This window comes from Homo sapiens, chromosome 13, assembly GCF_000001405.40.
Source record: "Homo sapiens chromosome 13, GRCh38.p14 Primary Assembly".
Taxonomy (NCBI): Eukaryota; Metazoa; Chordata; class Mammalia; order Primates; family Hominidae; genus Homo; species Homo sapiens.
In genome coordinates, this window is record NC_000013.11 from 54,365,141 (window position 1) to 54,388,062 (window position 22,922).

At 35.2% G+C, this 22,922-nt stretch overlaps 2 annotated features.

Annotated features, from left to right (window-relative positions):
• Positions 8,013 to 8,664: an enhancer, noted in NCBI's record as "OCT4-NANOG hESC enhancer chr13:54947288-54947939 (GRCh37/hg19 assembly coordinates)". NCBI's record gives its function as "activates a minimal SCP1, AML or CMV promoter by ChIP-STARR-seq in naive H9 embryonic stem cells {active_cell/tissue: H9 hESC(naive)}" and the evidence as "EXISTENCE:reporter gene assay evidence [ECO:0000049][PMID:30033119]".
• Positions 18,421 to 18,963: an enhancer, noted in NCBI's record as "NANOG hESC enhancer chr13:54957696-54958238 (GRCh37/hg19 assembly coordinates)". NCBI's record gives its function as "activates a minimal SCP1, AML or CMV promoter by ChIP-STARR-seq in naive H9 embryonic stem cells {active_cell/tissue: H9 hESC(naive)}" and the evidence as "EXISTENCE:reporter gene assay evidence [ECO:0000049][PMID:30033119]".

Below are 22,922 nucleotides of genomic sequence, written 5' to 3' on the forward strand. Positions count from 1 at the left end.
AACAAATAACAAAATACAAAATCCTTAAGTAAAATATTAGCAAACAGAATCAAACAATAAAGACATATTACATTATAACAAAGTGGTGTATATTCCAGTAATACCAGGTGACTTTACATTTAAAATTTTAAAAGTATATGCATTAAAAAATATATGTATTCCACTTTAAGAGAAAAGAGAAAATATCATATAACTATTTTAATGCATGCAGATAACTCATTTTATAAAACTCAAAATTCATTCTTATAAAAATTAACACACTCTAGAAGAAGACATTCTCAATGTTATAAAGGGTATCATAAAAAATGGTGCTAAATATACACCATGAGTTGAATATTGAACATTTTCTTTCTGAGATTTTCCCAATGAGCAAGACAAGGATGTTCCCTATATAATCATTCTTATTCAAATTATACAAGCGGGGTTAGCATTAAAATAAGAAAAGAAACACCAATAAAATTATAAATACTAGAAATGAGGAACTAAAAATGTCTTTATTTAACAAAAGCAAAAGGGTGAACATGGAAAATATGGAAAAATCCATAAATAAACTATAAGAATTAATAACTGTGAATTTAGAAAGTTTGTTGAGTAACTAAACAATGATGTTATATATATTAAGAACAAACATGTATAAAAGCGTATTTAAAATATTTTTCTAATTACATAAAAAAGTAACATATGTAGGAAGAAACCTAACAAAAGATGAGAAAGACCTTTATAATGAAAACTGTAAAACACAGCTGAAATTTTCAAAAAGCGAGACCTAAGTCAATGAAGAGCTATACCAGATTCATGAAAGTGAGGATTCAGTATTATCAAGATTTCATTTCTTCCCAAATTAAAACATGTATTTAATGCAATGACAATCAAAAATTACCCAACAAGTTATTTTTTTTTGGTGGAAGTTGAAAATCTGTTCTAAAATTTATATGGAAATGTCTAGAAAACCCAAAATTAACTTGAAAGGTAGAGAACAAAGTTAGAGGATTTGATCAACCAAATTTTATGACTTACTATAAAACTACAGCAAATCAAGTCAGTATGATACTGGAGGTATAACAGATAAATCTGCCAACAAAATAGATCAATATAAAATCCCAATTTAAAGCCAGATATAAATAGATCTTTCTATAAAAACTATTACCTAAATTAACTATATGTATGAAATTGTAAAATAATGTACTTTCCCTTCAACATTGTACCATATTAAAACATTAATTAGAAATTGACCTTTGACCTAAATATGAAAAACAGAATATATATGTGTTTGTGTACATATTCTCTCTATACATTTACCACATAGACACATAAAGATATACACATATATACAATCTATATATTCAATATATATGAATCTATAGAATGCACATGTGTTTGTGTGCACAATTCTCCATATATTTTGTATTTTTAGGTCAAAGATTCTACTTTTTTATTATTGATTTGTGAGAGTTGTTTATATATTCTGGATAGATATATAAATTTGAACAGTCTATAGATCTTGAATAATTATATCTAAAACATACAAAGAAGTCTTTGGTAATAATTTAAACAGACATTTCACAAAAGAGTATCGTATCTTATCCAGTAGATGAATAAGCATATTAAATCCTGTTCAAATTTATTACACATCAGATAAATGAAAATTCAAGGCACAATATGATACAACTACACAAGCACCAGAATAGCTAAAAATAAAGACTGTCAATAGATGTATAGCAACTGCAATAGTCAGAAACTGATAGTATAAATACAAATTGTTAAAACCAAGTATTCCTTATGACTCAGCAATTTTACTCTTAATAATACATCCAAGAGAAATAATTGCATATGTGTATGTTTTGCTGTGCGTGCAATTGCAAGAATGTACAAGAAAGTTAATTTATTCATAAAAGTTTCATACTCAAAGAATTCCAAACTTTTATGAAAAAGATCAAGGTGAAATAGATCACATTATATTCATAACAAACAATAAAACAAATTTTCTGTATACTGTTGTTTTTGAATTTTATGAAATGCTTTTTCTGCATTTATTCAAATCATCACATGATTTTTTTCCTTTATTATTTGAATGTGGTGAATTTTAAAAAAATTTGAATGTTAATACAACTTTGTATGCATGGTATAAATGTCACTGTATTATGATGCATTCTTTCTGTTGGGTTCAATTTGCTTAAATTTCATATGCAATTACATTGACGAATATTACAGATGTTATGCTGAGCAGAATTTAGATACAACATATTTAATGCTGCATAACCCTGTTTATGCAAAGTTTAAGAACAAATCAAAATAATCAATTGCAATACAGGTCAGAACAACATTTACCTCTGAAAGAGGGGTTAAAGGAACATTTTGAGGATACTTGAATAAACTATGTCTTTATATGGGTCACGATTGCATAGCTGTACAATTTGTAAAAAGTTATTGAGCTATCACCATAAAATTAGTGCACTTTGTGTATTTCACCTAGTAACTGTGGGACAGAAAGAATTAATCAGCATGCCTGTGTTTCTCAGAAACTGCACATTCCAAAGAAAGGCCTATCTTCAGGAACCGGCCCTCGATGTACTTTTGGGAAATGACTTCTGAGCCCTAGGAATATTATGCTTGGTAAGATACTTTTTATATGCCTGAGGCTTTAGGCAATGCTGTACCAGCTTGATCAAATACATTTACCTAACACTGTAATTTCTGGTAAATGTCTATAGGGATGGAGGCTGGGTGGCTGGCACCTGAGAACAGAGGTCAGTTTGGAGGGTGTGGCATGTCTATGAGACTGACCCTCAGTAAAAACCCTGGGCAGCAAGGCTTCGTTGAGCCTCCCTGTTTGGTAACACTTTGCAGGTATTGTCAGATATCATTTTGGGGAGAAGTAATTGCATTCTCACACGACTCCACTGACTGGGAACACCTGGAAGCTTATGCCCATTTTCTCCTGGACTTTGCCCATGTGCTTTTTTTCCTTTGCTGATTTTGGTCTGTGTCCTTCTGCTGTAATAAATTGTAACTAAGTATAACAGCTTTCTCTGAGTTCTGTGTATCTTTCTAGTATATCACTGAAGTTGAACGTGATCTTGGAGACCCTAATACAACTGTCATATTTCAATGAAAGAAGAAAGAAAGAAAGAAAGAAAGAAAGAAAGAAAGAAAGAAAGAAAGAAGGAAAAAGGAAGGAAGGAAGGAAGGACGGAAGGAAGGAAGGAAGGAAGGAAGGAAGGAAGGAAGGAAGGAAGGAAGGAAGGAAGGAAGAAAAAAGAAAGAAAGAAAGAGAGAAAGAAAGAAAGAAAGAGAAAGAAAGAAAGAAATGGAGAAAATAGTTTAGAAGAATAAGTTAGAAAATGAAGAAGGAATCTGAGTGCTATAGTACATGCCTGTAATCCCAGCTACTGGGGAGGCTGAGGCCAGAGGATCACTTGAGCTAGGAGTTCCAGGCCAGCCTGGGCAGCATAGTTAGACCCTGCCTCTAAAAAAAGAAAAAAAAGAAAGAACAAAGAAATGAGAGAAGGAGGGAAGGAGGGAAGAAGGGAAGGAGGGAAGGAGGGAAGAAGGGAAAGAGGGAAGGAAGGAAAGAAGGAAGGAAAGAAGGGAGGGAGGGGAGAAGGAAGGAAGGAAGAGAAGGAGGGAGGGAGGAGAAAGAGCTATATATTTAACTAGTATATGTATTTAGTTAATGTTCATAAAGCACTGTTAATGCAGAACAGAATAAGATCTCTAGATCCCATAATTATTATCTGTCTAGCCAAAAAGCTGATGACAAGGAAGGATATGAGCCATTTGCCTAATTGATTTAGAAAGAAAGAAATGACTCCTAAAGGACAAAAGATAACAGCAGTTATGATTAAAGAGATTGAGTTAGAGTTTATTTTAGTTAGCTATTTATTTCTAGAAGGCCTGCTTTGTTCTTACCAGGAATAGACAGGGATCGATTATAGGACTCACACACGCAAACACACACACACGCACACACACACACACACACACAGAGGTCATGGATACAAAAATCTACTCATAATCAAGTTCTACAGTTTGCCGTGTGGAACCCACTTACGGGAAAAAATGGCCCTTCTTATCCATGAAGTTCACATTCTGAAAATACTATGTTTACCTTTTTTTTCTTTCTTCTTCTTTTTTTTTTTTTTTTTAGATATAGGATCCCTCTCTGTCTCTCAGGCTGGAGTGCAGCGGTGTGATCACAGCTCACTACAGCCAGCAACTCCTGGGTTCAAATGATCCTCCCACCTTAGCCTTCCAAGTAGCTAGGACTACAGCACACACCATGATGTCCAGACAATTTTTAATTTTTTCCTAATATTTATTTCAATAGTTTCTGCAGTACAAGTGGTTTTTGGTTACATGGATTAATCGCATAGTGGTGAAGTCTGAGATATTAGTGTTCCTATCACCCAATTAGTGTACATTGTATCCAATATGTAGTTTTTTTATCCTTCATCTTCCTCACTCCCTCTCCCTTCTGAGCCTCCAAAGGCCACTAAATCATCCTGTATGCCTTTGCATACCCATGGCTTAGCTCCTACTTGTAAATGAGAACATACAGTATTTGGTTTTCGGTTACTTCACTTAAAATTCCTGAGTTACTTCACTTAAAATAATGGCCTGCAGCTTCATCCAAGTTGATGCAAAACACATTATTTCAATCTTTTTAATAGCTGAGTAGTATTCCATAAAGTGTGTGTATGTATATTATATATATATATCTCTCACATTTTCTTTATCCACTAGTTGTTTGATGAGCATTTAGGTTGGTTGTATATCTTTGCAATTGTAAATTGTGCTGCTATACACATATGTGTGCCGGTGTCTCTTTGATATAATGACTTCTTTTCCTTTGGATAGATAGCCAGTACTGAAATTGCTGCATTGAATCGTAGGTCAACTTTTAGTGCTTTAGGAAATCTCCATACTGTTTTCCATACAGGTTGTACAAATTTATATTCCCACCAGCAGTGTATAAGTGTTCCCTTTTCACCACATCCATGCTGACATATATTGTTTTTATAACATTATCTTTTTAATAATGGCCATTCTTGCACAGGTAAGGTGGTATCTCATTATGGTTTTAATTTGCATGTCCCTGATGATTAGTAATGTTGAGTATTATTTTTCATATGTTTGTTGGTCATTTGTATATCTTCTTTAGAAAAATGTATATTCATGTCATTTGCCCTCATTTTGATGGTTTTTTTTTTGTTTTTTTTTTCCTGATTTGAGCTCCTTGTAGATTCTGGATATATGTCCTTTGTTGAACGCATAGTTTGCAAATATTTTCTTCCACTCTGGGGGTTGTGTGTTTACTCTGCTAATTATTTCTTTTGTTGCACAGAAGCTTTTTAGTTTAATTAGGTCCCATTTATTTATATTTATTTTTGTTTCATTTGCTTTTGGGGTCCTAGTCATGAATACTTTTCCTAGGCAGTGTCCAGATGAGTTTTTCCAGGTTTTCTTCTAGAATTTTTAAAGTTCCAGCTTTTAGATTTGAGCCTTTGATCTACCTTGCGGTGATTTTTGTACAAAGTTTATTCCAGTTTTATTCTTCTTCATGTGGCTTGCCAGTTTTCCCAGCACCATTTATTAAGTAGGATGTCCTTTCCCCAATTTATGTTTTTGTATGTTTTGTCAAAAATCAGTTGGCTGTAAATATTTGGGATTTATTTATTGGCTCTCTATTCTGTTCCATTGGTTTATGTGTCTGTTTTGTACCAGTACCATGCTGTTTTGGTTTCTGTAGCCTTGTAGTATAGTTTGAAGTCAGGTAATGTGATCCCTCCAGATTTGTTCTTTTTGCTTAGTCTTGCTTTGGCTATGTGGGCTTTTTTTTGTTTGTTTCACATGAATTTTAGAATTGTATTTTCTAATTCTGTGAAAAATGATGTTGGTATTTGGATGGGAATTGCATTGAATCTGTAGATTGATTTGGGCAGTATGGTCATTTTCATTATATTAATTTTTCCAATCCATGAGTATGAGATGTGTTTCCATTTGTTTGTGCTATCTATGATTTTTAAAAACCATATGATAATCTCAATAGATGTAGAAAAAGCATTCAATAAAATCCAGCATCTTTTATTATAAAAAACCCTCAACAAACTAGGCATAGAAAGGACATACCTCAAAATAATAAAAGCTGTATATGATGAACCCACAGCAAACATACTGAATGAGCAAATGCTGGAAGCATTCCCCCTGAGAACTGAAACAAGACAAGGATGCTCACTTTCACCACATCTATTGACATAGCACTGGAAGTCCTATCCAGAGGAATCAGGCAAGAGAAAGAAATAAAGGGCATCCAAATTGGAAAAGTGAAATTTATCCTACCACTGTGTGCCAATAATATAATCCTACACCTAGAAAACCCTGAGTACTCATCCAAAATACTACTAGATTAGATAAATGAATTCACTAAGGTCTTAGTCTACAAAGTCAATCTGCACAAATTAATAGCACTGGTATACATGAAAACAACCAAGTTATAAATCAAATCAACAACTCATTTCCTTTTACAGTAGCTGCAAAAAAAAAAAAAAAAAAAACCTAGCAATTTATCTAACCAAGGAAGTGAAAGATCTCTACAAGAAGAATGTTTAAATGTGTTTTATAGAGACTGGTCATACTATGTTGTTGCCCAGCTGGTCTAGAACACCTGGCCACAAATTATCCAGATCCTCTGGTCTTGGCCTCCCAAAGTCCTGGGGTTACAGACGTGAGCCACCACACCTGCCCAGAAAATACTATATTTTAGATCCAATATTTGGTTGCAGATGTAGAACTCCATATGGTCGACCAACTGTATCTATGGAAAAAAAATCTATGAATAATTGAGCCCGTGCAGTTCCAACCCATTGTTGAAGGGTCAGCTAAATATATTTGGATAAATAGGCATACAAATACATAGGACTATAATTTAAATATTAAAAACTGTGAAGACACAGAGAAGATGCATCTACTTCTACCAAAAAAAGCACAAAGGTTACCCAAATAATAGGTGACGATCCATGTGCATTGCTTCTGTTTGTCTCTTGAAAACATATCAGTGAGCTGGAAGAGTCCTAGGAATGAGATTTCATTCATTATCAGTGATTGAACTGTCAACAAGGAAAGTAAACACGCAGTGGCTTCATACAGCATCTTTCTGGCGTAAACATCTGATGTTTATGGTGGCAGCAATTTAGATATTTTAAAAAGAGGATAGAATTAACAGAGATAAGTGATATTGAAAATTTCATATCAGTGCTGTAGAGAAGGCATTTCAATAGCTTTCAGATATACCTCATTATACCTCATTCAGATATGAGAGTGTTGTGGGGCAAAAATATTGTTATACAACAAAATTTGAGATACGAATATGCTTGTTTACAAAGAAAAATGCAGATATATGAAGTCAGAGCAAACCACATTTTTTTTAAAATGAAACATCTTTTCTTTTTATATATATATATACACATACATATTTATTTATTTATTTATTTTTATTTTATTTTTTGAGACGTAGTCTTGCTCTGGAGTCACCCAGGCTGGGGTGCAGTGGCGCAATCTTGGCTCACTGCAACCTCTGCTGCCCGGGTTCAAGCAATTCTCCTGCCTTAGCCTCTGGAGTAGCTGGGATTACAGGCACGTGCCATGATGCCGGGTTAATTTTTGTGTTTTTAGTAGAGACAGGGTTTCAGCATCTTGGCTAGGCTGGTCTTGAACTCCTGACCTCGTGATCCACCTGTCTTGGCCTCCCAAAGTGCTGGGATTACAGGTGTGAGCCACCGCGCCCGGCCAAAAAAAATGAAACATCCTTTCTAACATCACCTTATTTCACTATTTTCTAGAACTCTACTAGGTAGCGGCAACATAAAATTAAACAAGGTAGACATGGCTCCTCCCTTCACAAAGCTTACACACAATGGACGAGACAGAAGACTTAAAAAGCAATTGTAATTCATTGTGTGTTATTGCATTAGAAGTACCTTGACACGCATAGACTGGGAATAATTACAACTATTACTAAAATATGTAGCAGTAAAAGAAGGCAATTATCAAAACTAACATACATAGGACACAAGTCCCTAGGAAATTCTTCAGAAGACTAAACACTAAAAAAAGGGGCTTATTCTATGATTATATTCAATTTTTTTATTTCATCCATATGCTTTATATATATTTTAAAGCAGGAAGGTCAGCAAGCCTTCCCTGGAGAGTTCTGGCTAAGCTCTATTTGCACTATCATCAGAGACGCAATGCTGTCATGCAGATGGCCCCCTGGTCTGGGCAGCTTGATGAAAGTGCCTTTGTGTTCCTAATTAACAAGTGAACAACTATGCCAATTGCTTTGATACATTTGAAACCTTCTGTTCTCAGACTTTTGATGAGCTGTTTATTCAGAAGCAATACCTGCCTGCTTATTGGCCCCAGCATACCACTCCTAAAGGGCAGAGTTACAGTGAGATTGACAAAGATTCCTCTGTACAAAGGAAGATCATCAAGAAGCGTAAGCCACATTCAGGTAGTCCATTTTAGATCTCATTGATGGAAGAATAAAGTCTATGACTATAAAGTGCAAATATTTCTTGGCAGTAACTCTATATATCCAGAGCTCACAGTTCAGTAATGAGCTGCCACACTAAGTTGTTCTTTGATTCTGGGAGTTCCCAAATCTGTAGCAGTGTTTAAAAAAAGCAACGTTTCCAGGATCTTTACTCAACTCTTAAAAAAAATTAGTGGTAAAGTAGATGCTGGCACAGAGAGTAAATTAGAACATCAAATGATACTAGAATAATAAATGTTAAAGTGTATGCCAAATTATATTTAGCATGCAAAAGAAAAGATATGTTAATGAAGCCCAAAGCCCCAAACCATTTTGTGCATATAATTGTGTGAAATGTGATGGGAGGAGCAAATGTTAGTAGCTTTTAAAAAATTTTCTTGACTGAGTGTAATGTAGATAGTATCAAGGCCATGAGATAAAATAACTACCCTTTTGATTTATAAATGCATCAAATTAAAGAAAATGACATTTTTAAAAATTAAAAATGGCAAATCCTCAGGCATATATTTAGAAAGGCTCTTTGCATTTAGAAAGCTAGAGTTCTTCATCAGAACTAGTGGTTATGATGAGAAAGGAAAAAAGTGATGACAATGTCCCTTACAGCAGATTTGAAAAGTAGCCATTTTTTTTTTAATCCTAAGGAGAATGTTTAAATTATCTCAACCTTGGCACTATTGACATTTGGACTGAATAATTCTGTCTTGCTTGAGACTCTCCTGTGCATTGTGCAATGCTTAGCAGCACTTCTGGCCTCTATTTTCTAGATACTGGTAGTACGCCCCTAAGTTGTACAATCAGGAATGTCTACAGACATTGCCAACTGTGTATGAGAGCAAAATTGCTTACAGTAGGGAACCACTGGTTTTAATTAGAGACAAAGTACTTCCAGTAGAGACAAGGTGGTGCAGAATTTTTTTCTGCTTGCCCCTTCCCTCCAAGTACAACTATAAATTCCTTAAATTCCTTAAATGACTTAACAGAAAACCAAGGATAAGTATAGTTAGTAAGAGGAAGAAAAAGGGTAGGGAGTCCAGGACTGGAGGAATGATGTAGAAGCACAACTCTTACAAAACCCTATCCAACAGAAGACAACCCAAGCCCCATGCTTTCCACCTCCTGATCAAGCAACCAATGGTGGATCAGGTAAGCTCATTCCTTGGCAGGACTCAAAAATACAAGGTTACTCTACAAAACTAACAGGGAGAATCATTGATCCAAATGCCATGCTGACCCTAAGAGGCCAGGGAAAGGGTTCTCATTCCACAGTGGGACTTCATCTAGAGACACTGCATAACTAGGGGGCACCAGACAACAGCAATGATATCCTGCCACAACAAGGCACCTGGGCAGTATTAGAGTGAAGATAATAGAAGATAGAATATGTAAACTTGAGGACAGATGAATAGAATTTACCCAACCTGAACAAATGGGAGAAAATAGACTAAAACCAAACAAACAGAAACCACAGGCCTCAGGGACCCGTGGACAATAGCAAAATATCCGTCATTATTATCATCAGAATTCTAGAAGGAGAGGAGAGAGTGGAGCTAAATGTATGCAAAGGAATAAAAACTGAAACTTCCCAAATTTGTGGAAAGGCATAAGCCCACATATTCAAGAAGCTAAGCAAAATCTATACAAAGACACATCATAAACATACTATGGAAAACAAAAAATTATGGAATAATCTTGAAAGAAGCCAGGGAAAAATTACTTATAAAGGGATAGCTATTCAAATAATAGGAGATTTCTCATCTGAAACCAAGGGGTCCATAAGGGTGTGCCATAACATCTCTCAAGTCCTGAAAGAACTGTCAACAGCGAATTTGATACCTGGGAAACAATTCTTTAGAAATGAATGGAAAATAGTGGCATTCTCAGAAGATGGAAAACTAATAAAATAATTTCTCACTAGCAGATCTAACTTTTAGAAAAGGCTAAAAGAAGTTCTCACAGCAACAAAATGAAAATGATGAAAAATTTTGAAGCATCAAAAAAGAAGAAGAGAAAGTGTAGAAATATTTGTAAATACAATAAACTAGTGATAAATTATTGCTTAAAACATAGAAGGGTGGACACATTATTTTAAAGCATACTGTAGTCCAAATTTAGAGAATGAGATTGTGTCAGAACTAAAAAATACCTCTTTGTAAATCCTACAAGATATAGCCTGATCTTTTTGGAAGATAAATTAGTTACTTTTATATAATTGAATCACCAGAAAAGAGATAATTGGGTTTCTTATTTCCAGGAAGAGCTAAATAAGTAAGAGTTTGACCAACAGAAGTCTTCACTGAAATTTCAAATCATTAACCATGATTGAGAGATTGGAAATAAAGACATCTGTGACCAACACAATCTGGCACAGACTGGATAGGGAAATGAGGTAAACAAGTCAACAATACTTGGCTCAAGGATAACATAATAATGATGACAATGACATCTGTGATTTTCATTTTATGCTCCAGAGACTTTGTAATTGTTGTCTTTATCTCTCAAAAAAGTATTTTATTTCTGAGCCAATCCTGGCTCCTCAGACTCTCTCCCACTTTCTGGTATCACAGCAGGGCTCTTGTATTATGTTACCTTGGGCTCAGGTCAGCCAATGGGAAATACTGATGGTGCTTTATGGGGAAGGGGGAAAGAAACTAGGTTAACCCTTTCTCTCTCTTTGTCTTGGGTGGTTTCTCCAGCAAGCTCTGCCCTTGTAACTCCTCTTGATTGTGGCTACCTCTGTGCAGCTTTTCAGGCTACCAGGTTACTTTGAATGACTTTGGACAGTGGGCTCCCCCTGTTTTATAATCTTTGAGCTTAAGGTAGTAGTGGTTTTCTGCTGTTGCTGTTCTCTGGGTTACCGTCCTGTCCCTTGATTGACTCTCAGATGCTGAGTTACCACCTTTTGATCTCCAACAGTCAGATGCTCTTTCTTTCACCTATGAAACTAATTCTCCAAATTAAATTCCCTATATTGTAGACACTTGCATTGTTTTTTGGTTTCTTAATTAGACCCTGACAGTTACACTTTGAAATAAAAAATCAGGCTGGGCATGGTGGCTCACGCCTATAATCCCAGCACTTTGGGAGGCCGAGATGGGGGGATCACAAGGTCAGGAGATCGAGACCATCCTGGCTAACACGGTGAAACCCTGTCTCTACTAAAATTACAAAAAAAAATTAGCCAGGCGTGGTGGCGGGCGCCTGCAGTCCCAGGTACTCAGGAGGCTGAGGCAGGAGAATGGCGTGAACCCGGGAGGTGGAGCTTGCAGTGAGCCGAGATCACGCCACTGCACTCCAGCCTGGGCGACAGAGTGAGACTCCGTCTCAATAAATAAATAAATAAATAAATAAATAAATAAATAAATAAAATAATAAAATAAAAAATCAGAAGCTGAATGAATCTCTAGAGGTCATCAGGTTCAATTCACCTGTATTTTCCACAACACAAATGATTATTTTTCTTTTGACATACATTCAAATAAGAGCTGAAATGGGTAAGCATATTTGTTAAAGTAAGAAAATGTAAAAGAGCATGACCTACTATTCCAAGACCTACTATTCCCATACTAGGATAAAGATGGCTCTCAAAACCCAAATTCAAATGCCTTGACTGAATGAACTCATTCTGTGCCAGGGCCGATGGATTCTGATGCCTGGAATGTCCACATCAAATAATCTCTATGGATTTTAGTAACTGTTATCACTTGAAGACCACCTCATACCCACATTTCACATCATGTGACTTCCACAAGAACAATAGACATCCTTTGTTATTATGACTCAACTGATAAATAACTAAAATGTATACTGGCTTTTTTTAATAGTGTTAATTTACTGAGTAGATGTACTAAAACATTGGAGTTTTAAAATATTCATTCCTAAATGAGCTACTTTGAAAGCTTTGAAAAAAGTAAACACACGAAAAAAGAATTGAAGAGCATACTGACCTACACCAAACCACATAATGTGGACATCCTACATTGCACTGGGACAGAGAGCTGATAAAACTCATACTAAGGTGCTAACATAAGATCAGTCTGACTGGGTTATTTACATGTGTAGGTTTGTGAAAAGGTCTTAGTGAATAAAATACACTTAGAAAAATAAGAAAAATAACAAAAATAAGCAATAATTTTCTTAAAGATAGCATCTTCATATTAAGGTGATCAAGATGACTAGTACATCACGCATAGCAGGATAGCTTTTGATATCTTTATCAAGCTATTCACCTCTGTGTTCCAGACTTCTGCGATCAGGAAAAAAAAAAAAAAAGAAGAAGCAAAAGAAAAGAAATGCCAACTATAACACAGGAATAGGTGGATTCTGTTGGTAAATTCTTCAGTGAGCTTTACTTTCCCTCCCCTCACATCTTCTTAGAGACTTCTAATTATTCTTTATTGCTGTCTCTCATCCCCTCTCTTCTGTGTTGCAAATGCTAGTTCCATTTTGTCAGCATTTAAGTGTTTGACTCCTCATCTTGAAAACCTCCCAATGCCTTCCTTGAACACATATTCCCATATGGCTACTAGCTACTGCCCTAGTTTTGTTCTTCCTGTCACAGGCAAATTTTATTAAAAACATTTGTTTCAAACGCCATCCTCATTTCCTCAACTTCTATTCACTCTACAATCGGCTACAGTCTAGGTTCTTTCACTGTCACTTTAATTAAACTGGATGTGGGAAATTATAATTATCTCTTTATTGCTACATTCATTAAATATTGAAGTGTCTTTACCTTATTTAAACTTTGGAAGCATTTGGTGTTATTGACCCATCTCTAAGTCCTGAAATCCTTTGCCTTTGGTTTTCATTACATAATAATCTTCTTCTCCCTCTATCCTCTTCCTCTCTTGTTCCTCACTCTCTTTCTCCCCACCCCCTCCTCTCTCTCTCTCTTCTTCTCTTTCTCTCTCTCTGTCTGTCTTTGGACATTTCTACTTAGATTTCTTTGACATATTCTTTACCTCTATCTATTATGTAATTCCTGATGTTACTCCAGGGTCAACACAAGATTTTTTTCCCACTTCTCTGGGTAATTTACCCAGTTATTATCTGCTAGTTCAGAATTATTATATACAAACTAACTCATTTTCTACACTACCCTTCACCCAAACAAAACCTTTCAACTCCTGTGTTTCTTATCTTCTACCACCTTACGTTGCTTACAAAAATCACATGGATTCAGGCCGGGCGCGGTGGCTCACGCCTGTAATCCCAGCACTTTGGGAGGCCGAGGCGGGGGGATCACGAGGTCTGGAGATCAAGACTATCCTGGCTAACACGGTGAAACCCTGTCTCTGCTAAAAATACAAAAAATTAGCCAGGCACGGTGGCGGGCGCCTGTAGTCCCAGCTACTCGGGAGGCTGAGGCAGGAGAATGGCGTGAATCCGGGAGGCAGAGCTTGCAGTGAGCCAAGATAGCACCACTGCACTCCGGCCTGGGTGAAAGAACGAGACTCTGTCTCAAAAAACAAAACAAACAAACAAACAAACAAAAAAAAACAAAAAATCACATGGATTCAACTACCCAAACCAGAAACCTGCACATAATATTTGACTCCTATTTCTGTTTCTCTCTTCAGTTACTAAGTCTCCTTGTATCAACTTTGATTTTCTGGAAATGGGATTCTCTGTGCTCTCCAATCCATCACCCTAGTTCAAGAACTGAATAAAACATAATTTTATGTATGAAAATCATTATCAATGCCGTCTGTTCAGTGAAGCAAATCATGGGGGCCAATACTTCTTAAAACAATTTGTACCTAAGATGGTGTTTCAAAGTTCTGTCATTCTTCATTTATCCAGGGTATTTGATCTCTACTTCTCCCTCAAAAATATCTTACACAAATTTTCCCCCAAATCTTATCTTGTTTACTGAAATTTAGTCTAATCAAGCCTAACCCAGCTGAGCGTCTCTTGGCACACAAGCTGAAGGGAGAGCAGGTGTTACCAAGTGCACCTCAAGCCAATGGGAACCAAAGCCAATGGCTCATCCTGAAATGGAAATCACAGCCTGTCTACAGAATGAACACTAGTGAAGAGAGCATTAGAGCTACCTCTATCCATCGTTTGGTAATGTGTTTTTCTTTTTTTCCCTTCAGCCCCTCATTGCAGTTCTGTATTCCATCTCTAAGTCATTTTCATCAATGACCTTAAGATCCTTCTATTCCATGTCCCGAAACTCTCATTTCTCTTTGTGATTCACAAATATAACATTCCGTGGATCTACTGCATAGACTTTGGATAACCTTTATTTGTATCACAAATGTACTTGCCCTCCCAAATTCTGATTATTGCCTTAAAATATTTCCCAGCATATGAGTCAAATTTTTTTTTTTGCTAAAGCTTTTTTTTTTTTAGCAAAATACTGTTTTCATATATGCACTACCATTTGTTTTTTCCTTGAACAGTCTCATCTTCTAGGCTACACCCCAGTGCATTATTCTTTTACTCTTCCCTATCTGCAGACAAGTTAAAAAGAAATTATCCTCACTCTATCACTGAAGCCTTTCTTGCTGACTTCCTAGTATCAAGGTCTATATGGCAGAACTGGCCCTTCAGGATTAATGTGACTGATTTGCTAGGTTGTATACTGGATACCGACCTTAATGGGGAACATTACATTCCATAATTGCATTTTCTAAGCACCACTTCCATCGTGGTAAGTAATATAAATCCCAACTAATAGGAAAATGACGGATAAATGTACTGATTTCCCAATACAGTACTTTACCAAGTGAAGTTTGAACACTGGATGATACTATACTCACTTTATTTCTGTTCCAAAGAAATAATGCTCATAGGATACTTTTCCCCTAAAATAATAGCTTTTGATCTACTAACAGAGAGAATTAAAGTCTGATTAAAGTTGGTTATTTAAACTCTGCTAAAATTCTTATTGGTATTGATTTCTCCATCTTTAGGGTTTGAGGTCACCAATATCTTTTATATTGTCTTTTTACAGAAAAATATTAGATACTAATATTTTAATAAGAATAAGTATTGTAAAAATAAACACGTATTAGAAAAATATTTTTAAAAGAATTTAAAATATAATTCAGAAACAAAACTACAGAAAATTTAGTTTTCATATCTAACTTCTTAATAACACATAGAATAAAAGGGTTAAAATCAAACTTATTTGTTGAGTTTATTTACTCTCAGAATGCTTGGTGCTATAGTCTAAATGTCTGTGTCATCCCCACAATTCATATCTTAATCCTTAATGCCCAATATGATGGAACATGCAAATGGGAATTTGGGGGGTGATTAGTTAATGAGAATGGCACTTTCATGAATGAAATTAATGTCTTTATCAAAAAGACCACAGAGAGTGCCCTTGCTCCTTCCACCCTAGTGAGGAAGGAGCCATCTGTGAGGAAGTGGGCCCTCACTAAGTACCATATTTGTTGGCACCTTGATCTTGAACTTCACAGCTTCCAAAATTGTGAGAAATATATTTTTGTTGTTTGTAGGCAACCCAGTCTAAAATATTTTGTTAGAGCACCCCAAATGAACAAAGACATTTAGTGTACTATGTTAAAAAAAAAAAAAAAGAAACACCAAAACCAAAATGTTTTGTCATTTTGCTTTGTGAACTCCATTTATTTATGTCTAATAGGCCATAACTTTGGATCTATTGGGCTTAATTCAGTTTTCTCTGTACTAAGGGACCAAGAGGTGTTAAGAACATCACTGCAAAATAAAGGCCTAAACTAAATTTGAAAACTTAGTTTTAAAATTCTTGTAAGTGCAGTCACATTTGCATGGAAATAATCTATGTTTGGAACTTGTGTTATATTCAATGTCCTGTCTACAGGAAGATTATACATCTGCAAACTCTTGAATTAAAGCATCCCCTGTGTATTAATTACCTAGGGCTGCCATAATGATTTATCATAAACTGGGTGTCTGAAATCATCATAAATTTATTCTGTCACCGTTTGGGAGGCCAGAAGTCTGAAATCATGGAGTCATTGGGTTTTGTTCTTTCTAGAGACTCTGAAGGAGAAACTATCCCATGCCTTTCTCCTATCTTCTGTTCGCTGCTGGCAATCCTTGGTGTTCCTTGGCTTGTAGTTGCGTCACTACACTGTCTGCCCCTGTTTTCTCCTTCTCTTCATGTCTGTATCTGTGTGTCTTCATGTAGCCTATTTATAAGAATGTCAGTCATTGGATTTAGGGGCTACCCTAATCCAATATGACCTCACCTTAGCTAATTACATCTGGAAAAGTCCTATTTTCAAATAAGGTCACACATTCTGATATGCCAGGTGGGCATACATTTTGGGCAGATACTATTTAACCGAGGACATTATGTTACTTGCTTTGCTCAAAAAAATGAGAGCAAAAAATGTCCTGTGTGATTTGCAGCTTAAGTTTTAAGAGTTAATGCTTTGTTTACCATGCTCTCCCATTTTTCTTGACTCTGCTAATGGGTTAAAAATGGAATCTCTATTAGCCTGAAAAAGAGCCCCTGTGGTGACACATGCTGTAACACATCTCATAAACAAGAAGACACAGACATCACTGTGTTAAGACTCTAAGATTTCCAAGTTGCTCTTTTACACAGAATAATCAGGCCAATCATGACTATTAGAAAAATGAGTACTGGATCAGGGTGCTTCCTTAACAGACAACCTAAATAAAATATGTGACTCTGGGTTTGAGGTTAAGTATATGGTGGCAAGAAAATTCTTATTAGAGGCTGGAAGAATAGTAACACATGTCATGCAGTGGTGAAAATATTTAGAAAAAATATTATCTATGATACCTTAAGAGGGAGATAGTGTACCTAATAAGCTTTATCTTTAAAAGGTTTTAAAATAATTTTAGTTTTTTTTTGTTGTTGGTTGAACTTGCCAGGATAATGTAAGAGAGATGAGCTCAGAAAAGAACAGGCTGTTTTGTAAGCAGACTTTAAAGAAAGTAGAGAGAACACAGAGTTGGATGGCTTTCTGGGCTGGAAGTTTAGCTGGTCCTCATCTCCTTATAATATACAAAACTAACAAAGTTGTTAAATAGTAATTTTTTAAAAGGCCTCACATAAAATGCTGATTTAAGGGTCAATATCAGGATATAGTTATAGCACCCATTTTAAAACCTTTTAATGGCTGCAATGTACCCAGAAAATTCTTTCAGTTGGAAAAGTATGGTTTAGGGATAAGAGAAAAAACAAAGGCATTTCTTTTTTGTGGAAGCATGGTAGGCTTAAGTTACGCCAATTAAATCCAGCAATAATCTTAGTACTTCTTGTTCTCTAATTTCTCAGTTCAGAAATAGTTTTTAGTGTGTCTATTGTCAAGAGTCTCACTGAAATCAAATAGACAGAAAAGTAATTAACAGTGTGTCCATATAATCTCTCAAAAAGAGAGATTTTAGTTTTACAGATTTTTAATCTGTTTGAGAAATTATACAGACAAACTAACCATAGACCTAGACTAAAATAATAGTTTGTTAGAGACTTAAAAATTGGGCCCTCAAAATTCTATGGATTTTAAGCAGGCAGAGACGTCAGCTGCAAAGAAGCTCATGTAGTATCAATAAAATACCTCACCCTTCTTATTGACAAAATCAAATTATCCTAGGAAATGATCAATCAATTGTAACTATAAATAAATTTAGTTATAAATAAAAATTTATTATTTTTAAATAAAACAATACATCATATTGTCTGGTAGTTATTGGTAATTATTGATTATCTCCGATCTATGAAACATAAGAATATTTATATATACTTTCTTCTACTTAGGTTTTCCCTTCACTGGAGAAGCAGTAAGCCGATCTTGCCAGAATTCAAGTATTTTATATTTCGCAATTGCTCTCTACACGATATAGTACAGTATGGTAAAAGTTTAAAATATCTTTCAAAATGCAAACTTAGGGGAAATTTAAAAAGAATCTTTCAATGTTTAATAACTGAAGATTAAAACAATGATTTCCGGTTTTGTTTTTTTTTTCCACTAAGGCATTGCTTCTCTTCAAAGAATGCTCTGATTTTAGCAGCAGGTATATCACATAATTTCGGGTAGGAAAATTACATAAATATGCCCACAATGCAAACCTGAATATGTTGCTTCACATTGCTAAGACTCACTGAATCAGGCTGTGAGCTGACTCTTCCTCACAGCAGTAGGTATAGTAAGAAAATGGAAGACAATAGAGAGGGATAAAAAACAAGGCTTTGTGTGTGACATTGTATATAAAACCAGGTAAATTTGGTCTCAGAGCAATATATACTTTTGATGCAGTGTTAGCTACTTGTAGAGGAAAACAATTCTGTAATAAAAGTAGAAATCAATAAAATGAGTATGCTTTAAAGAAAAAACAAAGTATGGTTTTTGATTTAAATTTAAAAACCCATTCATACTGCATTTTGAATGTCCAGAAAACAAGCTAAATGTAAGTATATGATTTCTCATCAAAACAATGTTATAAAATCCATCAGCATTAAATGGGTACATTTGTGCAAAGGTTCACACTGCTGCAAAACTCATAACTTTGAAGAGCCCCTTTAGATATTATTTTAAGCTAGAATTTGTGATAAGATTAAGTCAATTATGAGTAGCTTATCTAACAATGAATTGCTTAGCTGTAGACATGGAATTGCACTTCAAAAGCATGTTCAAGAGTTTAAAATAAGCTGAAAAATGGATGAGGAAAAAGCACAGTACAAATGACAAGTGTCTGCAGAACTGAAGAGAAATGTAGAATATGCTTAAAATTTCCTAAGTTTTAAAAGATATGCATATTGTGTTTTGCCTACAAAAATTAATATTTTAACTTAGTTAAAGTTAAAATTACATATTATTAACGTCCACACCCTCCTTAATGTAGTTAGATTCTCTAACTCAAACCTGAGGAATGTTGAAGACAATAATTTGCAAAGAGAGAGTGTATTTCAAGCAAAATGAAAGGTGCGCAAAGGTCCAGAAGAGAAGAAGAATACTTCGCACTTGCATGACAAAAATAATTGTTTTAAGAAGGAATATTGAAGTGGGAAATCAAGAGACTAAGCTAATGAGGAACATAGGAGCTGGATATTAAGGTGTTTATAAGCCAAGTTAAGGATGTTAGAACTTTACTCTTAGGGCAACAGGGAGTCATTGATGGTCTTGAACCAGGAGAGCATAGAATCATATATACAGTTTATAAAAATCCCTACAAATATATTGTATTCTTCTGAGAAGATTGGGCAGATGAGGATTAAATCTGATTGCAGAAATATCAGCTGTGAGATTGTTTTGGAAATCCAGATGGAAATAACCATTATCTAAATAAGGAGAGTGGCAGTGGGAATTGAGAAATGTGACTAGACTTGCGAGACATTTTCAAAATAGAATTTTTAAAATTTGGTGACTGTTAAAGAGAATGTGACTGTCTAGGGAGTATAAGAGGAAATAAAATAAAAAATAAGCAGAAATCTGTTTAGACAACAATGTGTCATAGCAATCAGAAATCTTTTGGGACAAGTACATGCAGTGATTTTGGGCAAAAAGAAAGAACAGTCATAAGAGGGAGAACTGATTTCAGGATTGGACACAGTGAGTTTCAGTGAATATGTCCTAATTAATAGTTGGATATGTGAGTTTGAAGCTCAAAGGAGAGATATTTGTGAAATAGAGCTGGAGGAAAATAATTGATCAAGGAAACAACCAGGGATTAATGCAGTAACTACAATGATTAGTAGGAAGGGGTAGTAGTGATAAGGATATGGGTGGGAGGAGAGAATGAAGATATATTAATAAAGTAAAATATGCAGGATTTATTGATGAAAGGAAAATTTCTAGTAGAAAGTATGGAAATGCCGTGTTTTATCTTGGGAGAAACTTGAGCATATATGCATGTTAAGAGAAAAGAAACAGTGAAAATGGACAGATTAAAAATAAATCTGAGTTTGATCCATAGAATTAAAGGGATCAGATCCAGAAAATGGATTTCTTACAAGGAATGATTATGAACAATAAAGTATCCCTGATACCAAAATAATTATTGGACTAAGACACCTCCAAGATTTGCTGACTATATATATAAAATATGGCAGATACCCTCAAGAATATAGTATCTTCATGTGCAAAATCAAAAGCTGTCCCATTTTTCTCTTTGGCAGCATCACTTCATAGCAGAGGTGAAGGTTGATATTGGATTGCATGAATTGGAAAACATTTACAACATGGGAAGTTGCTTAAATAATAGAAACACCTGTAGAAATCTTTCTAATAGCTTTTCCAACAGCTGGGCTAGAAGTGTTTCATTACATGTTGCTGGACACTAGCAGGTTTCACACAATCAACAGTGTTGAACTGGCCTTGGCACTCACTACTTTAGCTAGAAACTTTACAGAGACCACCAGGAAGTGAAGCAAAAATTCCAGTTTCCAAACATTCCTGCAAAAAGAGAAGAGGAGAATGCATAGGTGAAAATTCGGATATATTTGAAGATATAGACTTTAAGAGTGAGAAAGAGAGATGAGATCTGATCTTGTCTAATTTCTCTGTTAAGGTAAAAGGTAAGGTTAATTGCTGAGAATGAAGATGGCATGGCAAGTTTTTCATTCTTTTCCTTTTCTTCCTTTTGCTCCCTCCTCTTATCTTTTATCATTTTTTTCTTCATGTCCATTTTCAGCAAGCATATGTGTTTCTTTCTCTTATAGACTCTGCTTTTATTATATTTCAATTTTACATACTTTACTTTTAAAAAGTTGAATAAAATTTTCAGGCTACAAGGAAAAGTAATTATTTTCTAGCCTTACCCACTTTACTCCAAATCTCTGAACTGATAATCAACTTCTTCAACTGTTTGAACCATTGTTTGTAGTATTTTTCCATTTACGCTTTAGACACAAATTCATACACTTAACAGAGCAGTTGAAGATTTCGCTTTCTTGTGCTTAATCACTCTTAAGTACATTCTCTGCTCCCCTTCCTTCCAACATAATTGTATGGTAATATTGGTCCCATCAACCTTTATTTAAGATTTATAATATGATGACTATGGAAGTATTATTCAGAAGGAAGACAAGTAGGGTGTCATGTTTTTCTTCCCTTTCTTATTATTTTCAATAGAGTTAATAATTGTCCAGATACTTCTTGGGTTAAATTATGTTTATATTCTAACACAAATTCAGGACAAAATTCTATGATAGAATTGTATGTCTTCTTTCTATATGATGAAAGTTATCTACAAATTTACTAGTTCCATTTCTGTGCTTTTTCTTCTTGAATTTTAGATGTGTTATGAATTTAGTGGTTGTTTTCCCACATTCATACGTTGAAGTTCTAACCCCCAATGTGATGGTATTTGAAGCGGGGCCTTTGGGAAGTAATTAGGTTAGATTAGAGGGTGGGATGCCCATGACAGGATTATTAATCTTATTAGAAGAGCAAGTCAGGGAGATATCTCTCTCTCCATGTGCATGCACCAAGGGAAGCTCATGTGAACACACTGCAGGAAGGTGGCTGCCTACAGGTCAGGATGCAGGCTCTCTCCACGAACCAACTGCACCCTGATCTTGAATTTCCCAGCCTCTAGAACTGTAAAAAACAAATATCTATTAATTATCTAAGCAGCACAGTCTATGATATTTTCTTATAGCAGCCTGAGCTGACTAAGATACCATCTTTTCTTCCAATGTATTCTGATGTTCTCAACCTCTGACAGCTCTTCAGGATTTCTTGTATGATCAGCTTGGAGATTCTATTCATCACTTTCCTGTTACATAATGCTACTTTGGATCCTACCTTTTAAAGCACAACCTATAGTTGTGTCAAAGCAAAAATTTAACTGGACAAATTTAAACAGGCAAGAAATACTTAATTAAAGGCTCTTGTAATATGGGAACAAGGGCACAAAACAATCTGAACTTCTATCTACTGAAGCAAAGGGCTTGCGTGTTTTTAAAAACTGGAGTGGGTGGATCACAGGCCATCTGTGCTTGTTAATTGGCTTTATTCAAATGAAAATAAACTCCTCATATTTTATGACAGGAGATGGTTTTACAACTTGGAGGAAGACACCTGCTAAAGTCAGTCTCTTATCCTTCCAGGAAAACTAGGATATAGGGGCTCTCCCTTCCTTGGTAATTACACTTCAAAGGAATAGCTCCCAGGTCCTTAAGAAAGAGATTCCTGGGCTGTAAAGCTGCCAAGTCTTTTTAGAAAATTTACACCTCAAAGGGGCAGAGAAATAATTTACAATGACAATTTTTCTAAAGTAAATGCTCTAACAGAAGAGAGATCAGGAATCTAGAGTAAGGAAGATTGTCTTAAGGTTAGTGTAGCCAAGGGGATTGTTAAGGTTTTCTTAGTAAGGTACTTTTCTGGTCTTTTGAAACCTTTTTTGAAACATTACATATCTCACCCTTGAATAACAG